Source organism: Homo sapiens, chromosome 4, assembly GCF_000001405.40.
Source record: "Homo sapiens chromosome 4, GRCh38.p14 Primary Assembly".
In the NCBI taxonomy this organism is placed as follows: Eukaryota; Metazoa; Chordata; class Mammalia; order Primates; family Hominidae; genus Homo; species Homo sapiens.
Window position 1 is genome coordinate 60,743,814 of NC_000004.12, and position 20,211 is coordinate 60,764,024.

General features: G+C 35.2%; 1 long non-coding RNA gene across 1 annotated transcript in view; it reads left to right on the forward strand.

Moving 5' to 3' along the window:
• Nucleotides 1-6,753: 6,753 nt before the first annotated feature.
• Nucleotides 6,754-20,211, forward strand: part of LINC02496 (long intergenic non-protein coding RNA 2496) — a 45,534-nt gene continuing 32,076 nt past the window's right edge. The window contains exon 1 of the long non-coding RNA NR_183857.1: nt 6,754-7,052. This is a non-coding gene — a long non-coding RNA (long intergenic non-protein coding RNA 2496). The remainder of the gene's footprint in view (nt 7,053-20,211) is intronic.

Here is a 20,211-nt window from a genome sequence, read left to right on the forward strand (position 1 = left end):
TGAGATTATTTTTAAAGAACTTCCTTCCTAATTCCTGTGTGCTGTCGGAGTTCAGAGGCATCACATTAGAGGCAGATTCTACTACTATATAATGATATGGATTGGAATGCTGCTGCACCAGATCCAAGTCATTCAGAGCTAGGTTAACAGAATCTCTTGAAACAAGCATGGTAAAAGTATTGTACACTGCTAGGGCCCTAGTGGAAAAACTTTGGGCAGATTAAGAGTTCCTTCAATTTAGGAATCTTTTGGAGGTAATTCTACAGCAGAAACAATTACAGGGACTGAGGACAAAGTTTCCCTAGGAGGCAAGTTTCACAGGCATAAGCAACAGCAAGAGGTAATAACAGCAGCCAATAGGCAGAGGACAGAAAATGCTTGATCATGAGACAATAGAAAAGCTATGTCACCAGGCAGAGTTCACACTGAATGCTGCACTAGCAAGACAGAGACATAGGGATTCAGGGGGAAATGAAAATTAGGCATCTTAAACCATTCTGGATTTAGATTTTGGGTTGAGGCTGCCAACATTGTACATTTCTAGCCAATTTCAGAAGACAGGAATGATTCAAATGTCACTCTCTAAGAAAGAATTAGGTAGAAATTATTTTATACATCACAAAACCAACTACTCTATTCCCGAAAATGGGAACAATCAAAACAAAACAAAAACAGTAACATCAAAGTTCCAATTTTCCCTGTTTATGATGCAACTGCTTCTCTAATTTTTATGCATTGAAGAAATAAACCAGTAGGCTGGCTTTCTTTTCACTTAGATAAGTTATCTCTTTTCTGTCTCTAACACCTTTGCTTATACCTGCTCCAGAAATTTAAACTGCTGAAAGTCAGGATTCCATCCTTCTGATTCCTATGAACCTAATCTCCCCTCCACAGTAACTGAACCATTTCATCCTTTGGTGAGCCAGCAAATTCAAATTATCTTCAATTTGTTGTCCTTCACCAGGCTTTAGTTTTCTTCTCTCATTTGAAAATGCAGTAAAAGTCCTATGATAATGTGATATGTAAGATCTAAAAATTTAATCATTTTAAATGCTGGGTCACGTTGTTTTGAGGTTAATGACACGTCTTGAGTAAGCCTGTGCAGCTCCTTGATCAGGGAATCTGAGCCTGTGAGCCCCAACTCCATCCAAGGCCTGCCTGCAATCTGGTGCCACCTGATGGCAGTTGTTCCCTCCAGCTTAAATAATAAATGGGGATGTTTCTGGGTCCTGTGGGAGGCTGGAACTTCTGGGACAGAAGCAGTGATTTCAGGAATGTACCTAGAAATGGACCCATTTTATTGGACCAATCTGGATTCATCAGCCTAGGAGAATAATGAAGATATGAAGACCCACATTCTCAAGATGCGATTGTCTGCTATTTTCCTACTTGGACTTGTCTTCGCTCCAAAAGAGAAACACTACTTCCATTTGAGAACACAGGTTGGTCACAGGCTGAGAGTTAATCACTAATTACATTATTTCAAAACTTGGATTAACCCTGCGTAGATTATTGCAGGGATTTGCTGTACTATTTTTCTGGCTCATGTCTTTTCCAATTTTAACTTTTAGCTTCCTTTACAAGAACCTTCTACTAGATAATCACTGCAACCTTCAGTCTGTTTCTCCGAGTCTTCAAGATTCAGCTAAAATATGTTATCTTTTCCTAAATGCTTCTCAGTCTCCTTCCCCTGAACTTCTTGCCCTCCCTTACTCTGTGCCTCTTCAGGTCTGAATAAACATGGATGCAGAACACATCACCGTCTCATAATTTATTGATTACTTATCAGCCCTCTTGATCTTGAGCTGCTTTAGGATAATAACCTATCATCATTCTATTCCAAGAATTGACCACAGTGCCTAGAAAATTGTTGATGATTATCTAAGTATGACTTTATTTATTCCCACTATGTTACACATCCCTAACATTATAGATGATTTCTTTATTGGCCCTCTAGTTCCTTGAAGAATGCTTTATTCATAGTAGCAGAATCACAGCTAACTTGAGCTCATACTGAAAGCATCTTTGTCTAAAATTTTAACATTTACTTTATTTAATATAAAAGCTAAATTTGGACTGCATGATATTACTTTCAGCATTACCACTGTCCACATAATGTTACTTTACCCCTTTATCTTATTTTCTCCTCCTTTTATTTTAAACCAGTGTTAGCTTTTAATCTGAGAGTATTTTCTGTGACTCACTATAAACAAGACATGGTGCTGGCAATGTCTTGTTAAAAAGTTAAAAATAAATACCACGAGAGTGTGTTCTCATCCTCTTGAGCCCAAAACGTAAAGAACTAATGTTGATAATGTTGCAAATAATGATCTTTTAAAGAAAAGTGTCATGTTTTAAAAAGTAGACTACAATACTAGGTATTATATTAATTATTTTATAATGACCTGAAACTGCATATATACTTCTCATACCTCATGGATGATGAATTAAAGGAGGTTTGGGAATATCAACAACCTGCCCAGGTATATAGAATGAGTAAATGTAGAATTAGCACGTGAACATTGACTCTTCAGTTCAATGACTCATGTGCTTAACCATGACATTATGCATCTACATGTGAGAAAGGCAATGCAGGCAATGTAGAAAATGCTGATATGCAAGATGAAGAGGAACAGATTACCTTCAAGTGGACTATTCAGAAAAAGTTTCACAAAGGAAGTAAGATGTGAGTTGGTTCTTGTAATATATGAAGAGGAAAGGACTGGCAGGGTGAATTATAAAATACATCTGGGAAAGAGGTGATTAGATATTCTATTAGTTCTTTCTCACACTTTTATAAAGAAATACCTGAAACTGGGAAATTTATACTGAAAAGAGGTTTAATTGGCTCACAGTTGTTTGGGCTATACAGGCTTCTGCTTCTGGGGAGGCCTCAGGAAACTTACAATCATGGAGGAAGGAAAAGAGAAGCAAGCATGTCTTCATATGGTCAGCAGGAGAGAGAGAGACAGAGAGTGAAGGAGGAAGTCCTACACACTTTCAAACAACCAAATCTCATGAGAACTCTGTCAGGAGACAGCACTGGGGGATAGTGCTACATCATTAGAAACCATCCACATGATTCAGTCACCTCTTACCAGGCCCCACCTTCAACTTTGAGAATGACAATTCAACATGAAATTTGGGTGTGGACACACAGCCAAACCATATTAGATATAAAGCTTCATACTGGGTAATTCTAAAGACAATCTTTCTTTCTTTGATTTCTCATAAATAAAGCTCTCATTTATTTTCTCTCAATATGGCATTCAAATTAATTTACTGTCCCAGTACAGATTTGAGTTCAAAGGGATTCATCTGTTAACTAACATTTTGCCTGGAGCCTTTTACAGATACAAAAATAATGTAGAAAATAATGATTCTGGATTAGATCTAGTCTGTGATAAGGGACAGAGCAATGTAACTCTAGAGACCAAAAATAAACATCATTTGTACCAGGCTGACTTCAACCACTTACTGGTAAATTGTATAAGAAAATGTTGTGCACATATCTGTGCATCTTTTTACCTTACAATTACATAGTTTAAGAAGTAATAGAATTGTATATTTGAAATTAAGAAAGCAATAGTAATTTTTTGTGATCCTTAATATAGTGGCCAGCGAAGTTTTCTAGCTGCCTCAACCTTGTGCTAATAGGTCACAGAGACAAAAGAATGAGCAATATGAAAGCCCGTATTAATTATAAACTAACTGCAGAAGTAGTATAAGAATGAGTTTGAGAGTCATCATGTTTTGAGATATATGTGAAATAGTTTGTTGCTAATAAAATATGCTTTATGGGAAGTAGGAAGCCTTAAGGGAACAGATATTTTCTCCTAAAAAAATACTTTCACTCAGACATCACAATATACAAGGTTCTACTTTTTGAGATTTGTTGGAGTAAGAGATGTTCAACGTACTTTCCAGCTAGTAGAGGTGACACAAAAAGTATTCAGGCAAAAGTTACAGATATACTTTTTATATTCTTGTATAATCTATTTGGTCAGTGTTAATTGCTGTTTACTAGCCCTGTGTTCTTACTTTGCAAGGGCAACATGTCCATAACCTTTCAGCAAAGTGAGCAACGCTTTCTGCTTCCTTTTCAGTTTATCTGTTATCAGTATAACTTTTTAGTAGTCTGTCACCATATGACCATATCAAATGTACTGCTTCTGTGGGAAATATTTTTTAAATGAGGTGACAGATATAGAAATACTTTGAAACAGAATGGTGATTGAAAATGAAATGGTATTGTCATTACTATTATTTATTATATTATCTTCTTATTGTACATACAAAACTTCCTCAAGATATCCAGTAATGATCCTTTCTCAAAAAAATAAAAATTGCTCAGGAGAATTCTCTCACTAAAAGCTCTGTTTGCTTAGAAATTTCTGTCTAGAATAAGTACATCCTGCCATTTCATTTTGCCCTCAAATGTGTCACACACAAAAAAAGGCCACATTATATGTGAAAAGTTTGGCTGGAAAAAACAAAACTGGCTGGTCAAAATTTCACAATGCTAACAAAAATATTAAATTATTCTTCAGGTCTCTCAATTTTTTCTAAATATATTTTATAAAATATGTTCCTAGAATATTGTTTTTTGGATGTTAATAGATATTATAAAAAATAAGGTTTTGTGGCTAAAAATGTGTTAGGTTCATGTAGTAATATAAGTATAGTGATAATAATTTTGATGACTATAATCTTTTGAATAGTTTCTAAGATATGTAATTCCTAAAAAATTTAGTATTTAGAAAAAAATTAACTTTAGAAGTATTATCTCAATCTTGACAAGAATCTCGCTAATTATGCCATTTTGTAGGTGAGGTATCAGAAATTTATTTAGAGCCATTAAGTAAACTGCAGAAAGTCACACAGTTTGTAGCAGAACCAAGATCTAAATCAAGGCTTTTCTACTCAGTTTGAAATTTCCTTTACATTAAAAGGTAAGGATGTTTTATTTTTTACTCCAGACTATTTTAGAGCTGCTAATATGTTAATGCGTTACATGCTATATTAGTTAGGATTCTTCATAAAAACAGAACCAGTGGGAGATATATATATATGAAGATAGAGACAGAGTAAGAGAGAGATTATAGGGAATTGGCTCATACGATTACAAAGGCTGAGAAGTCTCAAGATTTGTAATCACAAGCTGGAGACCCAAAAGAGCAGATGGTGTAGATGCAGTCTGAATACAAAGGCTTGAGAACCAGGAGGGCCAATATGTAAGTTTCAGTCTGAAAGTTATGCAGGCTCAAGACCCAAGAAGAATGACTTTTCAGTTCAAATTTGAAGGCAGGAAAAAGACCAACGTCCCAGCTCTTCAGAAAAGCAGCAAGAATTACCTCTTTTTGTTATATTCATTTCTTCATTTGATTGAATGATGCCCATCTACATTAGGGAGGGTATCTGCTTTACTCAGTCTACTGATTCAAGTATTTATTTCATCCAGAAACAGCCTCACAGACACAACCAAATAATGTTTGACCAAATGTCTGGGTACCCTATGAGCCAGTCAAATTGATACAAAAAACTAACCGGTATACATGCGTATATGTAAACCTTAGGGCTAAGGTGAGACAGGAAGATGGGTATTTTCCAAATACATTTGATGGCAAAATCTATCTTTTTGAAGAACAATTCTCAAGATCAATGCTCTATAGAACAGCTTTGAGATTTATCACTTAAGACTTTAGAAACTATTACATTACCTCACACTCTCTCCATAACCTTTGAAAGTTTTTACTCTTCCATTTCATTTTGAATCAATGTGCCCTCAGAAAGGAATAACTCTAATAGAACCCATCAGAACGGAGGGAATTTGTCTTTAAGTAACTACGGTATATTGTTCCAATTCTCAACTGAAAAATCACATGATGTATAAATTTAGAAAGGAAACTTTATTTCTTATAAAGAATTTTAGCCTCTACACTGTTTATCCTGACAGGCTGGGAAGCATAGCCTCTAGCAGAGACCATTAGCAGGTACTTTGAAGGAAGAGGAGTTGGCTCAGGGGATTTATGCTAAAAGAGTTGGCTGAATATACATATTCAACAGGTTATAGGAGCTATGCATATTCATTAAGGAGATCCTGATGCATGTGTACTGAACAAACATGCATGTTACATGCTTTACCTGTTCACTTTGGGGTGGAGGCTTAACATGTAAATGCATTACAATCAGACTTTTATAAGTCAAAAAGTAAAGCAGATACACGGAGGCACTCAGTGCCCAGCCTCTGTCAACCTGCCAGAATGAGTCCGTTGTTGGTGATCTCTTCTCAGGTAAAGTTGCTCAGATCACTCTCTTGTCCAACAAACCTGCAGTTGTGGCTTATGGAAAAGGGGTCAGATAGTCAGTGTCTGGGGACAGATGAGCTGCAATTGTTTTTATAGTGTTTATCTTGAGACCAGTGCTTATTTCGCTGCTAGAGAATAGACAAACCTTGTGGCAGTCAGAACATAGTTTTTACTTTAAGTGTAGGGGTGCCTGACTTAACCCTTGCCTGCCATGGTCTTAGGTCCTGTTTATAATTTTATTGCTTACTGCCACAAAGAGTCTGTTCTATCAGTCTCATGACCTCTGTTTTTACATTAATGCTGGTCAGTTGTTATGTCTAAATTGCAAGTGGAAGGGCTTATGATGAAGTGTGTCTGATCTCCCTTCCCATCATCACTGGGAATTCTGTTTATAAGGTTTCTCTGGAAACCCCTTGGCCAAGAGACGGTCTATTCAGTTGGTTGTGGGGCTTAGAATTTTAGTTTTAGTTCTCACACTAATGACATCAAGTTTGTTCACACTTCTCTGTACCATTGCCTTTGGGTAGTCCTCTTGTCCACTGACAATAGACTTGACCATGTCACTTTCTTTGATCAGTGAGACAAGCAAAGAATTGAAACGTGATGGACCATTGGAACTTTTCTTCTTTTGCTGATTTTGGAAACCTGCTGGATAACAAAGACTGGCCCAGTTTACCCCTTCACCTCAGCTGACAGCCAGCCAGCCCTCGGAGCTGTGACACCTACTTGACTGCATCTGCTTGAGTAAGTCTGGTCATAATCAGCAAACTATCCATTCAGCTGAATCCAGCTCAACCTGCTGACCTGAGCCATCAACCATGTTGTTTTAAGCTGGTAAATCTGGGGAGACTTGTTACTAAGAATTTGGAATTAAAAAACCTGATTCTATGAAGTTTTGGCTGTGTGACTCAGCATCTGAAAACCTTAGCTCTTCCTCCTTAAAGTTAGGACAATAATAAAATGTACTTAAAATTGCTTTAATAAAGTAAATAATAAATGTGAAAAATATTTGATAAGCTACTGTACATGTCAGTTATTACGTAACATCTTACGTATTATTATTTTTAGTTATCATAATGCTAGTTATCATGTGTATTGTTTGAATAATGTTATTTACTGCCCTATTAACCAAGTTCTCAATAGTTATACAGATTATCTTGTTCGTTGGCGAGACCTATGTGGACCTGGTCCCTAGGCCAAGGCAAAGGGTTTAGAATGGACATGTAACCAGAATTTGTTATACCTTGTTCAATGAACCCCTTATGTTGTTCACACAGACCTTTGTTGGACATCTTCAGCAAGCTTCACACATGATAGAAACCCCTGCACAAAACAAAGAACTCCAAGGTCTGGCCCTACTAGTTAGTCTCTCTAATGCGTGGGAGAAAGGAGAGGCCAATCTTAGTCATCTGAGGCCTCATAGTATGAAGCATAGTATCAAGCACTTTATTTCTTATGTTTCTTGATTTCTCTCTGCTTTCGTTTCTTGATCTACAAAACGTGGGAAAATAACAATAACTACAGCATAGTCTTGTGAGAAATAAATGAACTGATGCTTAGAAAGTGATCAGAACACTACCAAACAAGTTCTCAATAATATATATCATAAGTGCTCAAGAAGTAAAGAGCTGTCATTATTTTTACAATTTTTGTAACATCATAGTACAATTGTACTGTTACTACTGTTTTATTGCATTACTTTTCTTTGGACTATGTAGTCTATAAAAAACTCTACTAGTTCTCTTATTTTTGCCACATATAAGCTAACATGAATATACAAATATTTCAAATTGATCATCTAGGCAATTTTTAATATTATTTACAACATGTAGGTAAAACAATCTTTGATTATTTGACATATAAATTTAGATAGAAACTTATCAATACAGATTTTGAGAGGGAAAAAAGTATACTTAGTACACATAAATGATTATTTACAGACATAACAAAATATCCCTTAAAAAGCTGATGTCTAAGAGACATCAGCATTTTTGTTCATTGGCTTTTCTCTACTTAAAAACAATGGGAGGAAAATTTTTAACTGAACTGAATTATTTCAGATGAGGGGAAGAGTCAGAATTTCTTTTTTTGTTTGTTAAATGCATAAGGACTTTTTTTTCTCATTTCTATTAAGTTCATGGCTTTTCAGATGTTCAGGAAATGTTATTTATGACAGAGCTTGATAAGAATATAGCTGCTGTGTTAGCAATAGACATATCACTGAAAACTCAACTTATTATTATAGAAAATACCATATCTGCCAATCTTAAACTGCAGCCACTAGACAAGGGAATGAGGTCAAAGAAAATGGATGAAACAGTAAAATACAAAAACATAAGCAAGAACATTTTTATTTCATACCAGATATCCTGAATCCTTAGCTATCCACAGGATAATCATGTAAGAAGAGATAAATAGATGAAAAAGGGAGGCTAAAGCAAGTGAAACCCAAAGAATTCACCCCAAATCTAGAGGCCATACATTGTAAACATGGTTAATTCCCAGAAATCGGGCATTAACAAGAGGCAGAAAAGGAGTCCTTGAAGGTGTAGGAAGGGAAAGCCAAATGAGTCTATTCTACATTTTTGAATCTACATTTAGAATTAGAGAAAAGAATCAGAAAGAAAAATGATAACTTGGGGAATACCTTTAGAAAAACAGAAATAAAAATAAAAATATTTAAAGTTATACAAGTACATTGTGCTAAATGTGTATTTTTTGAGTGGGAATATACTTAACATTTTTATTTACTGTAGTCAAAATATTACAGCAATTTACATGGTAAGATAGACATCTGTTCCTGTTTCTGGTTCTGGTTTCTTCTCTTCAAATATTAAGAACATAAAATAAAATTGAATGTATGGTAATCAAAAGTTTTTCCATAAGTTAATATTCATATTAAAGTAGTGTTACGTAAGATATAAGTAAGCGTTACATAAGATATAAATGAGAAGTAAAATATAACTCAAAATTTTTAGTAATTCTGACCAATTAAGAAGTTTCTTCTAATGTAATAGGAATAACAATATCAAGTTATTGGTTAACCAGGAACCCACAATATATGGATGTTTTCTATGGCAGAGTGTAGTATGACATTCTAACAGATTATTTTGATTAGTCGTAAAACAGGAACATTTTATTTTCTTCATTGTAAATATAATTAATCTCATTCTCAGTGACACCACATAAGGTGAAGACTCAAATTTTGAAAATTTTAAATTAGATTTTTGAAGATAAGAACAAATTCTGCCTAGTTTTTGAAAGCTAAACACATTAGATCATGGCTTCTCTTGAACATGAAAGCTAAAACTCAAGTTCTTCCAGGTGAAAATCACTGGAGGGCAGACCAAATAGACAAAGGGACAGGAAGAGGGAAGCAAAACAGCCAAGAAACAGAACTCACAGTCCAACACATACTTCCTCTGAAATTCTTTGCACTTTAAACTATTAATTTTTCACATATAGTTTTCAACTTGATTAATCCTACAGTGCTTAGATTTTATTCTATTTTTTTCTGTGGTGTTCTTTGCCATTTTACTTACCACTTTAGAATTTCTATTCATTATCTATTTTACCTGCCCTTCATATATTAACTTGCATTTTTGTATGGTAAGTACACACAGATCAGTCATATTTCCTCTTCCTAAAATCAGAATTAGGCAAATAAAGACTCGGAAATACATAGAGGTCTTACGAGCAGTCACTCCCTACCTGCTACCAGCTGGTGTAAAAACTGATCATTTACTCTGCCTGGGTTTTGTGGTGCTATTGTATGCCTGCATGTTATGTACCTGGAGTAACCGCAGGAAAACCACACTCAGCTGAAGGTGTGAACCACACACACCGACACATGTTTTCTGTACGTACATCGAGTGAATACACATTTTTTTTTTTTTTTTGGTTTCAGACAGAGTCTTGCTCTGTCGCCCAGGCTGGAGTGCAGTGGCACGATCTTGGCTCACTGCAACTTCCGCCTCCCGAGTTCAAGCGATTCTCCTGTCTCAGCCTCTCGAGTAGCTGGGATTACAGGCATGCGCCAGCACCCCTGATAATTTTTGTATTTTTAGTAGAGACAGGTTCCTTCATGTTGGCCAGGCCAGTCTTGAACTCCTGACCTCAGGTGATCTGCCTGCTTTGGCATCCAAAAGTGCTGGGATTACAGGCGTGAGCCACTGCGCCTGGACCACTTTTCTTTTTAAATAAGTTATAGAAATAAAAATAGAACTTAATTCTATTAAATTCTGAGTGCATTTCCACTAGGGCTAATATTAACAAAATATCAAAATACTTTTTCATTGGGCATTTTCTCCAGCTTTCATAATTTTTTTTACTGTTGTGTAACAAATTACCATAAACATAGAAGTATGAATTACATGTATTTATTACCTCACAGATGTGTTTTCATTTGAAGCTTGAGGCTCTCTTTCAATCTTACTGGTTGTTGAAAAATTTCAGTTTAAGTGATTATAGGACTGAAATTCCCCTTTTCCTTCCATTTATTGGCCAGAAACTGCTCTCAGTCTTAAAGGCCACCCTCAATTTCTTGCCATGTAGCCCCCTCAACAGGCAATTCAAAAGAGCAATTTTACTTCTTCTAAGTCAGCAGGAGAAATCCCTCTTGCTTCGAATGGGTCTGACCTCTTTTAGTGGCTTACATGACTGAATTAGGCCGAATCAGGATAATTCTCTTTTGATTAACTCAGTTACTGACTGGGAACCTTAATTACATACTCAGAATCCCTTTTGCCATATAATATAACATCATCATCGGGGGGCATCTCACTGTATTCTAAGCCTCTTTCAAAGTGAGGTATGTTATACAGGGTATGTACAACAGCATGGTGAGAATCCTGGGGGCTAATTCAGGATTCTGACTACCACAACTACAATCTGGATATTTTTAAATTTTAACTTGGATGTTTATGAGAGCTTTTAAACCACATAAAGCACCAGATTTTTTAGAACAAAAATTTAGCTTCTACATCAGCTCAGAAGTTGCCACACATCATGACCACACGTAATTTAATCGACCTCAGGAATCAAATATGGTTATTTGCTCTGATTACATAGAAACAATTATTAGCATCTTATAGAACTGTCTTAATAGCTACAGTGTTTATACTGAGAGTCTGGGTAAACACCTAGCCACATAAATCTTTAAATGAAAAATATGAGACTGCCTGTTTCAGCTCTGACATGCAAGAGATTGGAAGTCAACGCTTTCATTCTTACAACAAAAAAGACTAAACAAACTGAAAATCAATTACTTTTTCTTTTGACCCATCAGAGAACTGAGGTCTCAAGGCAAATTGTCACCTTAAAAGCTGGAGAGACAGAAAAATACAGCTGAGATCTGCTTAACTAGAACAGAAGTTGCTGGAACCACAGACTTGTAGAAACACTTAAGTGGTAATTTGCTCAACTGCTGGCTGCCGAGTGTAGACTAGCATAAGAGTGGAAACTCTGGCATCTTCAGTCTTAGGGAGCTCCTCACACTTTCACTGGTTTTACCTCTAGGTTCTATAAAAGGATCTCAGTGCAGATCCAAGAAAGATCTTGTGGCTTTGGCAAGAGGAAGAAAAGAGTAATTAGGAAATACGCACAGACCCTCACCAGTACAAAGTCTTGCTCTCCTGGGGAAAGATTTTACCCAGTTTTATCCTAGTTTTAGAAAGGAGACTTTTCCCGCTACAGCCCCTATTAGCCTTCCTATCACATAAGCAGTGGGGGAGGAAGGAGGTGGGAAGTGGAATTGCTAGCAAGTGGAGAAACAATTGTAAGGGCCACAGCCTAGAGACACAGGCCCACAATAAGACTGAGATTTAATCAGAAAATTTTATAACACTTCTTTTCCTCAATACCATAGCACTACATTCACAGGATTATATTATAATAGAAGATTACAGTTGACTGAGCTGCAAGACATAGACTCTCTCTGAAGAGGAAGATTTAGGGAAGCCCAAACTGAAGAGTGAAGTAAAAAAAAAAAAAGGAATTACAAAGCCTCTGACACTTATGACACCTACACCTACAGGAAACAATAAACACAGCCCAGCTCCTAACCAGATTAGCATAAAACCACATACTATAGGTCTATTTACCTTAGTTTCAATTACCTGATACAACATATCCAGCTTTCAACAGAAAATTATATTCAGTAAGATAGAACATACTCGGACTGTGGGGAAAAATAAACAAAAACTAAATTTGTTTAAAGGAAAGAAATCACCTGAGGCAATGCTGACCTCATAAAACAGATTTGGAAGTGGTTCTTCTTCAGTTTTTTGGGGCAAAGTTTAAGAAAGATTCATGTTAATTCTTTTTTAATCATTTGGTAGTATTCACCAGTAATGCCATCTGGTCCTGGGCTTTCCTTTGGTGGGAGGTTATTGGTAAATGATTACATCTCCTTATTCATTACTGTTTTTTTCAGGCTTTCTAGTTCTTCATGAGTCAGTCCTAGTAAATTGTAAGATTTTAGAAATTTATTCATTTTTTCTAAGTTATCCTAGTTTGCTAGTTTATTGTTCGTAATAGTCTCTTGTGATCCTTTGTTATTTTTGTGGCATCAGTTGAGAAAAAACCACACATATACTGGATATAAACATGCAAAAGAATGAAATTAGACATTTATCTTAAGCAATACACAAAAATTATCTCACAATGGATGAAATATCTAAATATAAGACCTGTAACTGTAAAACTCCTAGAAGAAAACATAGCAGAAAATCTTCATGACATTGAACCTCACAATGATTTATTTGATGTGACACCAAAAGCAAAAGTAACAAAAGCAAAGTTAGGCCAGTGGGACTACATCAAACTAAAAAGCTTCTGCACAGCAAATGAGGCAATCCACAAGATGAAAAGACAACCTACAGAATGGGAGAAAATACTTGCAAGCCATATATCTGATAAGCTATGGAAATCCAAAATGTATAAAAAACTCCAACAACTCAACATCAAAAAAACAAATAACACGATTTAAAAATGGGTAAAGGTCTTGAATAGATATTTTTCCAAAGAAGACATATGATAAAATGCTCAACATCAATCATCAGAGAGTACAAATCAAAACCTCAATGAGATGGCACTTACAACCTTTCAAGGTTACTAAAACATACATGCACACACATACACACACACAAGTAACAAGTATTGGCAATGACGTGGGGAAATCGGAACCTTTGTACACTGTTGGTAGAAAGGTAAAATGGTGCAATAACTAAAGAAAATTGTATGGAGATATCTCAAAAACTTAGAAATATTATATGATCCAGCAATCCACTTCAGAGTATATATCCAAAAGCATTGAAATCATAATCTCAAGAGGCTTAGCACTTCCATATTCATTACAGCATTATTTATAATAGTCAAAAGGCAGAAACAACCTAAATTCCATCAATGAATTACCTAATAAAGAACATGTGATATAATGCATTTGATTTTTAGCCTTAAAAACAAAGGAAATTATGCCATTTTGAACAACAAAGATGAACTTAAAGGACGTTATACCAAATGAAATAAACCAGTTACAGAAGAATGAATGCTTCATGATTCCACTTAAATGAGGTATCTAAAATAGTCAGTTTCATAGAGAGTAGGACAGTGGTTTCCTGAAACTAGGGAGAGAGGAAAGCAAAAAGTTGATGTTCAATGACATGAAGTTTTATTTATGCAGAAACAAAAGTTCTACAGAACTGCTGTGCCTACAGTTAAAAATACTGTGCTGTAAACAGTTAAAAAATGAGAGGGTATATCTCATGTTAAGCATTCTTACAAAAATTAAAAGTAAATTAATTTAAAAAATTATAAATAAGAATAAAAAATTCACCTGGAAAATGCCCAACTATGTGAAGATCAAACAAAACACATCTAAATAAAATATGGAACCAAGAAGCAGTCTCAAAGGAAATATAAGAATTATTTTGGACTTAATAAAAATACAACCTGTCAAAACTTGTGTAATGCAGTGAAATCAGTGATTAGAAGAAAATTTACGCATGAAATGTATGTACTAAAAATAAGAAAGGTCTAAAATGAGTAACCTAAGATTTATCTTAGGAATTCAGAGAATGCAGGGCAATTTAGCCTAAAGCAAGCTGAAAAAATGAAAATGAAAGCACAATTCAGTAAAACTGAATTGTAATTCTTTGAAAGTATTTAAAAATTGATAAACTTATCTCCAGGCTATTTAAGAGACAGAGAGAGAATACAAACTACCAGTATCAGAAATGAAGCTCATACATTTATGCAATAAAACATATTTTTAGCAATAAGAAGAAATGAACTATCAGGCCACTAAAAGACATGGATGAATCATTAATCTACCCTGCAAAGGGGAAGAAGCCTGTGTGGGGAAAAACAACAACAGCAACACCAACAACACAGATTGGATAAGTTCCAGAAAATGCAAAGCTATAGAGATAGAAGACAGATTAATGGTTACCAGTGTTTGAATATGTAAAGCACAAGGTGATTTTATTTTTAGAAGGAAGAAACTATTCTGTGTGGTACTGTAATGACAGTTGTATGACACTATGCCTGTATCAAAATCTATAGACCCTTACAGAATAAAAAGTGAACCTGAATGTATACAAAATTTTCAACAGGTCATTTAGGAGGTTGAAGAATCTTAATACAGAATTCAGAATGTGACAAAACAATGTAACTGCATTAAAAATGTATGGGACAACTTTACAGCCAGGAATAAGGGGAAAAACTGCTAAATTGAATAACTTTCAAAATCAATACAATCTATAAAATAAATGCAAAAAGAACTGTACATCGCATTGTACTTTAGTTGATAAAGTAGCTTCCCACAGAGGTGTGGCATAACAATTCTGATAGCTCTATATGTGTATGCTGGTATTTAACAATTAAGTAAATGAAGATGGGAGTGGGATTTCTCACTGTTGAAGTGCAAGATTACAGATAATCAAAGAGAGGAGGCTAAAGAGATCCATATGGAAATTTATTAGAGTTGTAAACATAAGTACAAAGTTTAATTAGTGTAAATTAATATACATATATAGACATTTCTAGACATCTGTGTAGTATCTCACTGACAGGGCAGGAGCACCATCATCTTAGACAAACACTGCCACTTTAAGTTTCGGCTCCCTTTCTAGCTTCATGCATTTCAAGCAAATCACTTCTCTTCTAACTATAAGCAGCCAGAGAAAGCAGAGAGTGAAACACAGATAAGACAGCTTGGGCACAGGGGAGGTGGGGGAAAAGTCTCTTGGGTAATTGCCAATCTTCACCCTCATACAATGAACCCCAATAAAACAGTGGGCCTTAATAAGCACATTTCTTTCCCTTCAAGTGCACTAAAACAGGAAAGCTAAAAGCAGACTCGGGGGTATGCCTGCAGCTGCAAAAAAATGTATAAAAAAAGACACACAACTCTCCCTCCCAGATAAGCACAACAAAAAAACACAGAAGCAGTCAAAGCCTCTAATAAACTCTCCCACTTTAAACCCTTAAAAACTCTTAGTCTGTAAAAAAGCGTGCTTCTAACCTAATGCAGCCAAACGCCCCTCTCAGGTTTGTTTTCTCTACAATAAACCTGTCTTGACTGTCAAGCCATCTTTCGTGTTTCTTTCCTCTTTCTTTAATTCTTATACTTATACACGCACATGTCTTTGCTCTGTCAGCTGAAAGGGCCTAGAAGCAACAACATCCTGGTAGCAATTAGCACACTTAACTCTCAGATCTTGGTTTCTAATACTATTCTCCAATAAAAAGAACCAATAAAATAGCTGATTATAAGGCTGACATAGGAAACATACAATATGAACCCAGAACATTTTGTAGTGGCAGAGAGTAATAAATTGCTCAAAACTTAAAAATTTAAAAAAAAATAAAAACACCCACCAAAGAGACAGAGGAACCCAAATGAAAGAGCCCCTAGTGGCCAAAACTATAACAATTTGTGCAACAAAATAAAGTACTATTAGACTATAACCCAAAGTATGAAATGATTGTCCATGAGTACATACTGATATAAATAGTTACATAAAAGTATAGAAAAGACAAATGACCAGTGCAGAAGAATTCCAAGTAATTTATTTAGATACTTTGCCCTCAAGAAGGTGAAGTGCAACTCCCCACTTCCTAAGTATGAGCAGAGCGTTACATCATTTCAGAGAATGCAATATGGAAAGCGGGGACAAAGAGTAACTTCACAGTAGAGAAACCTGACAAGCATTACCTCAGCTAGGTGATCAAAATTAACACCAACGGCAATAAGTCATGTTGATAGCCTGTAACCTTGAGAAGATATGATAAAAATAGTAATTAATCTCTTTGGTCACTCTCCCAAAAAATGCACAACTCCATTCCATTCATGAGATAAACATGAGAAAAATTCCAACCGATTATGTAAAATATCTAATCAAAACTCCTCAAAACTCTAAACATCAACAAAAATGAAGGAAGCCTCTGAAGTTGTCACAGCCAAGAGGAGCCTAATGGTATATGACTGGTAAGTGTAACATGATATTCTGAATATGACACTAGAGCCCCCCCCCAAGAAAAAACAGAGAGAAGAAAAAGAAGAAAGATGGAAAGATAATACGAGGTAAAAACTAAACAAAAAAAAGTATGAAAACTGATTCATTAATTATAACAAATGTGCTATACTAATGTGAGATGTTAACACTAGACTAAACTAAATATAGTTTAGGGCATAGTTTAGGGCATAGGGAACACTTAATACTAGCTTTACAATTTTTCTGTAAACCTAAACTCTTTCAAAGTAAGAGTTTATTTTTAAAGGGAAAATATTATTTGAACTGTCTGATATGGGCGAATTTTGTCCCTGCACAGTTCATATATTTAACCTCTAACCCCTAGTGTGATTATATTTGGAAATATGGCCTTAAATGAAGTAATTAAGGTTAAAAGAGTTCATAAGGGTGGGTCCTAATCCACCAGGACTGGTATCTTCAGTTCATAAGGGTGGGTCCTAATCCACCAGGACTGGTATCTTCATGAGAAAAAACACCAGAAAACTCTCTCCACACCTGCACAGAGGAAAAGCCATATGAGGATACAGTGAAATGTGGACATCTACAAACCAATAATAGAGGCCTCACCAAAAAGGAAACCTGCCAGCACCTTGATCTGAGACTTCTAGCCTCCAAAACTGCAAGCCAATGCATTTCTGTTGTTTCAATATTTTGTTACGGCAGCTAAAAGACTAATAAACATTCATTAGCAGTGTTATCAACTTGAATACACTGTGGTTTGAAAGAGATGCCCAAGAAAATTCCAGGCAACTTGAAAAATATTCATCTAATGTGAATATACTCTAAAGATATTAATGAATATGCTATTTGATTTACAGTTGAAATAAAAATACTATGCATGTTTGTATTGTCAGATAATCATGTTTGAAGGATGAACAAGCTTAGCAGTCAGAGAAAAAAGATTTGTGCTTAGGCAGCAAATGGAACTGCTACACACTGACAGTCTAATACTTGTGTGTTTTTACCATTTCATACAGTTAGAAGGTCAAGTTCGATATATGAGACCAAATAATTACCTCACTTGTGATTTAACTATTTCTTCAAAGTAAGAAACATTTGCATATGCCTATTTCTTTGTATAAGCCTCCCTTTGTTCTGATGTTTTGGTCTAGACTAATACAGTCTTGAAATATGACATCCTCACCAACACCACCATTATGTGCTTTATTCACATTTCTCACTTATGAGAAGTTACACCCTAACTAGAGCAATAGCCAGAATAGTAAATTTATGCAAAATTAACATATAATAGCTTTGCTGGTTGCAAATTCAAATAATGATGCTTAGACGTATAGTGCCCGTCCTAATTTAATGAGAACATTAAAAACATTAAATATCTGCTCTCTTTTTTTGACTTAATTCAACAAAATCATTGAAGTGATTTTCCATTTTACTTTAACGAATGGATTTTAGAAAGCATTTCCACCCACTTCAGAATCAACATTACATGGAGAGTTTGCAAATCAGAGTTTTAATTAAAGCTCTTCTCAAAGAATACTGTAATTACATGAAAAGTTTATTTGACTAGGAACAATAGAAACCTATTAACCCATTGGACTCTGCTCACTGAAGGCATGATTTTTAATAAACTTAGTTAAATATCAGAGCATTCTCTTATTAACTGTAATAGCCAGTAATTGGAGTTTGGAGTACTAAACTTATTCATAAAATTTTACACAAAAATGTCTGAAAAAGTAGTTGATGACTGGCCAGGTGTGGTGGGTCACACCTATAATCCCAGCACTTTGGGTGACTGAGGCAGGCGGATCACGAGGTCAGGAGTTCAAGACGAGCCTGGCCAACATGGTGAAACCCTGTCTCCACTAAAAATACAAAAATCAGCCAGGCATGGTGGCAGGCGCCTGTAATCCTAGCTACTCGGGAGACTGAGGCAGGAGAATCGCTTGAACCTGGGAGGCAGAGGTTGCAGTGAGCCCAGACTGCACCACTGCACTCTAGCCTGGGCAACAAAACAAGATTTCATCTCAAAAAAAAAAAAAAAAAGTAGGTAATGACTAATCATTCACAATTCTTCCTTGTGTAATGCTCTCCAGAAGTAGAATATAAGTTCTTTGAGGGTGGCAACATTTGTTTCATTCTCTTCTCTATCCCCAGCATTGGAAAAGCACTGAAATATAATAGGTAGTCTATAAATATTTATTGAACCCATTACGACTTTCACAGAAAGCATGAACTCAAGAATTGCTTCTTTTTCCCTAAATAATACTGTAGAACCTATAACCCTTGCAGATCCTATGTGAAGTGGCTCTTGACAAAGTTTGAAGAAGACAAATTCTATAACGCAGAATACATTGATCTGCATTGCTATCTGTGCTACCTGGCTACTAAAAATTTTAAGCTGAAACAAAAACAAGATTATGTTCAGATCATAATATTTTAGTAGTCTTATTATTTTCTTTGGTAATCACAAAGTACCACCTTTCTAAGAAATGCAAAACCAAAGTTAAAGAATACAGTGAAGAATCCAGAAATTCTACCACATTACAATTTAGCTGTAAAGTTTTGAAGGATTATTAATAGAAGTAAATATAACTGTTTTTTTGCTCCAGAAGGTATAATTTATTTTGAAGGAAGTTTTGAAGTCAGTATAAGGAATATGTAACCATTATAGCTGTTGATTTTTGAAGTGAATACTCTGGTAATGGGGGTTCCCTATTACTTGAATATATTCAAGATATGTTTGACAAAGATTCTTGACACAATCAGAGACTTGAATATATATTAATTAAGGCTATTTGTAGCTTTGAAAGTCCACAAGACTATGTTTATTTTCATATATTTACAACTATCTATTTTACTACTGTATAGTCACAAAAGCACTAAACTTGGTTTATATGTCTTTAGTTCAAGTACTGACTGTGCAGACTATTTTTGGGAAATTGGATAGTCTCTGTTAGTCTTTTGGAATTGACAAAAACATTCTTCAGAGAGTCATCAGTAAGGACTAAATATAACATAATATGCATTCTAAAATATTATATACATTAAGTATATCTATATATAATAAATCATTTATTGAGCACCTATATACCAATATCTTTCACTTACTTTTCCTTTAACTTATTAGGGCTACTGTTTACCAGGCAATAAGCTAGTCTCAAAGATGCAAAAGCAAACAAGTACAAAACATCCCTCATAGATCCAACAGATGTTTTTCTCATGATCTAGTCATTCTAATTTACAGTTGAATGAAACAATGCTTCAGATTATGTAATAACTTGCCAAGGACTACACCACTATCTGTGGCACAACTAGATTGGAACCAGGTCTGTGTATATCAAGACCCTATAGGTAAGGTCTTTCATCCAAAGAATCTAGATATTTATGTACATTTGATTATTTATCTT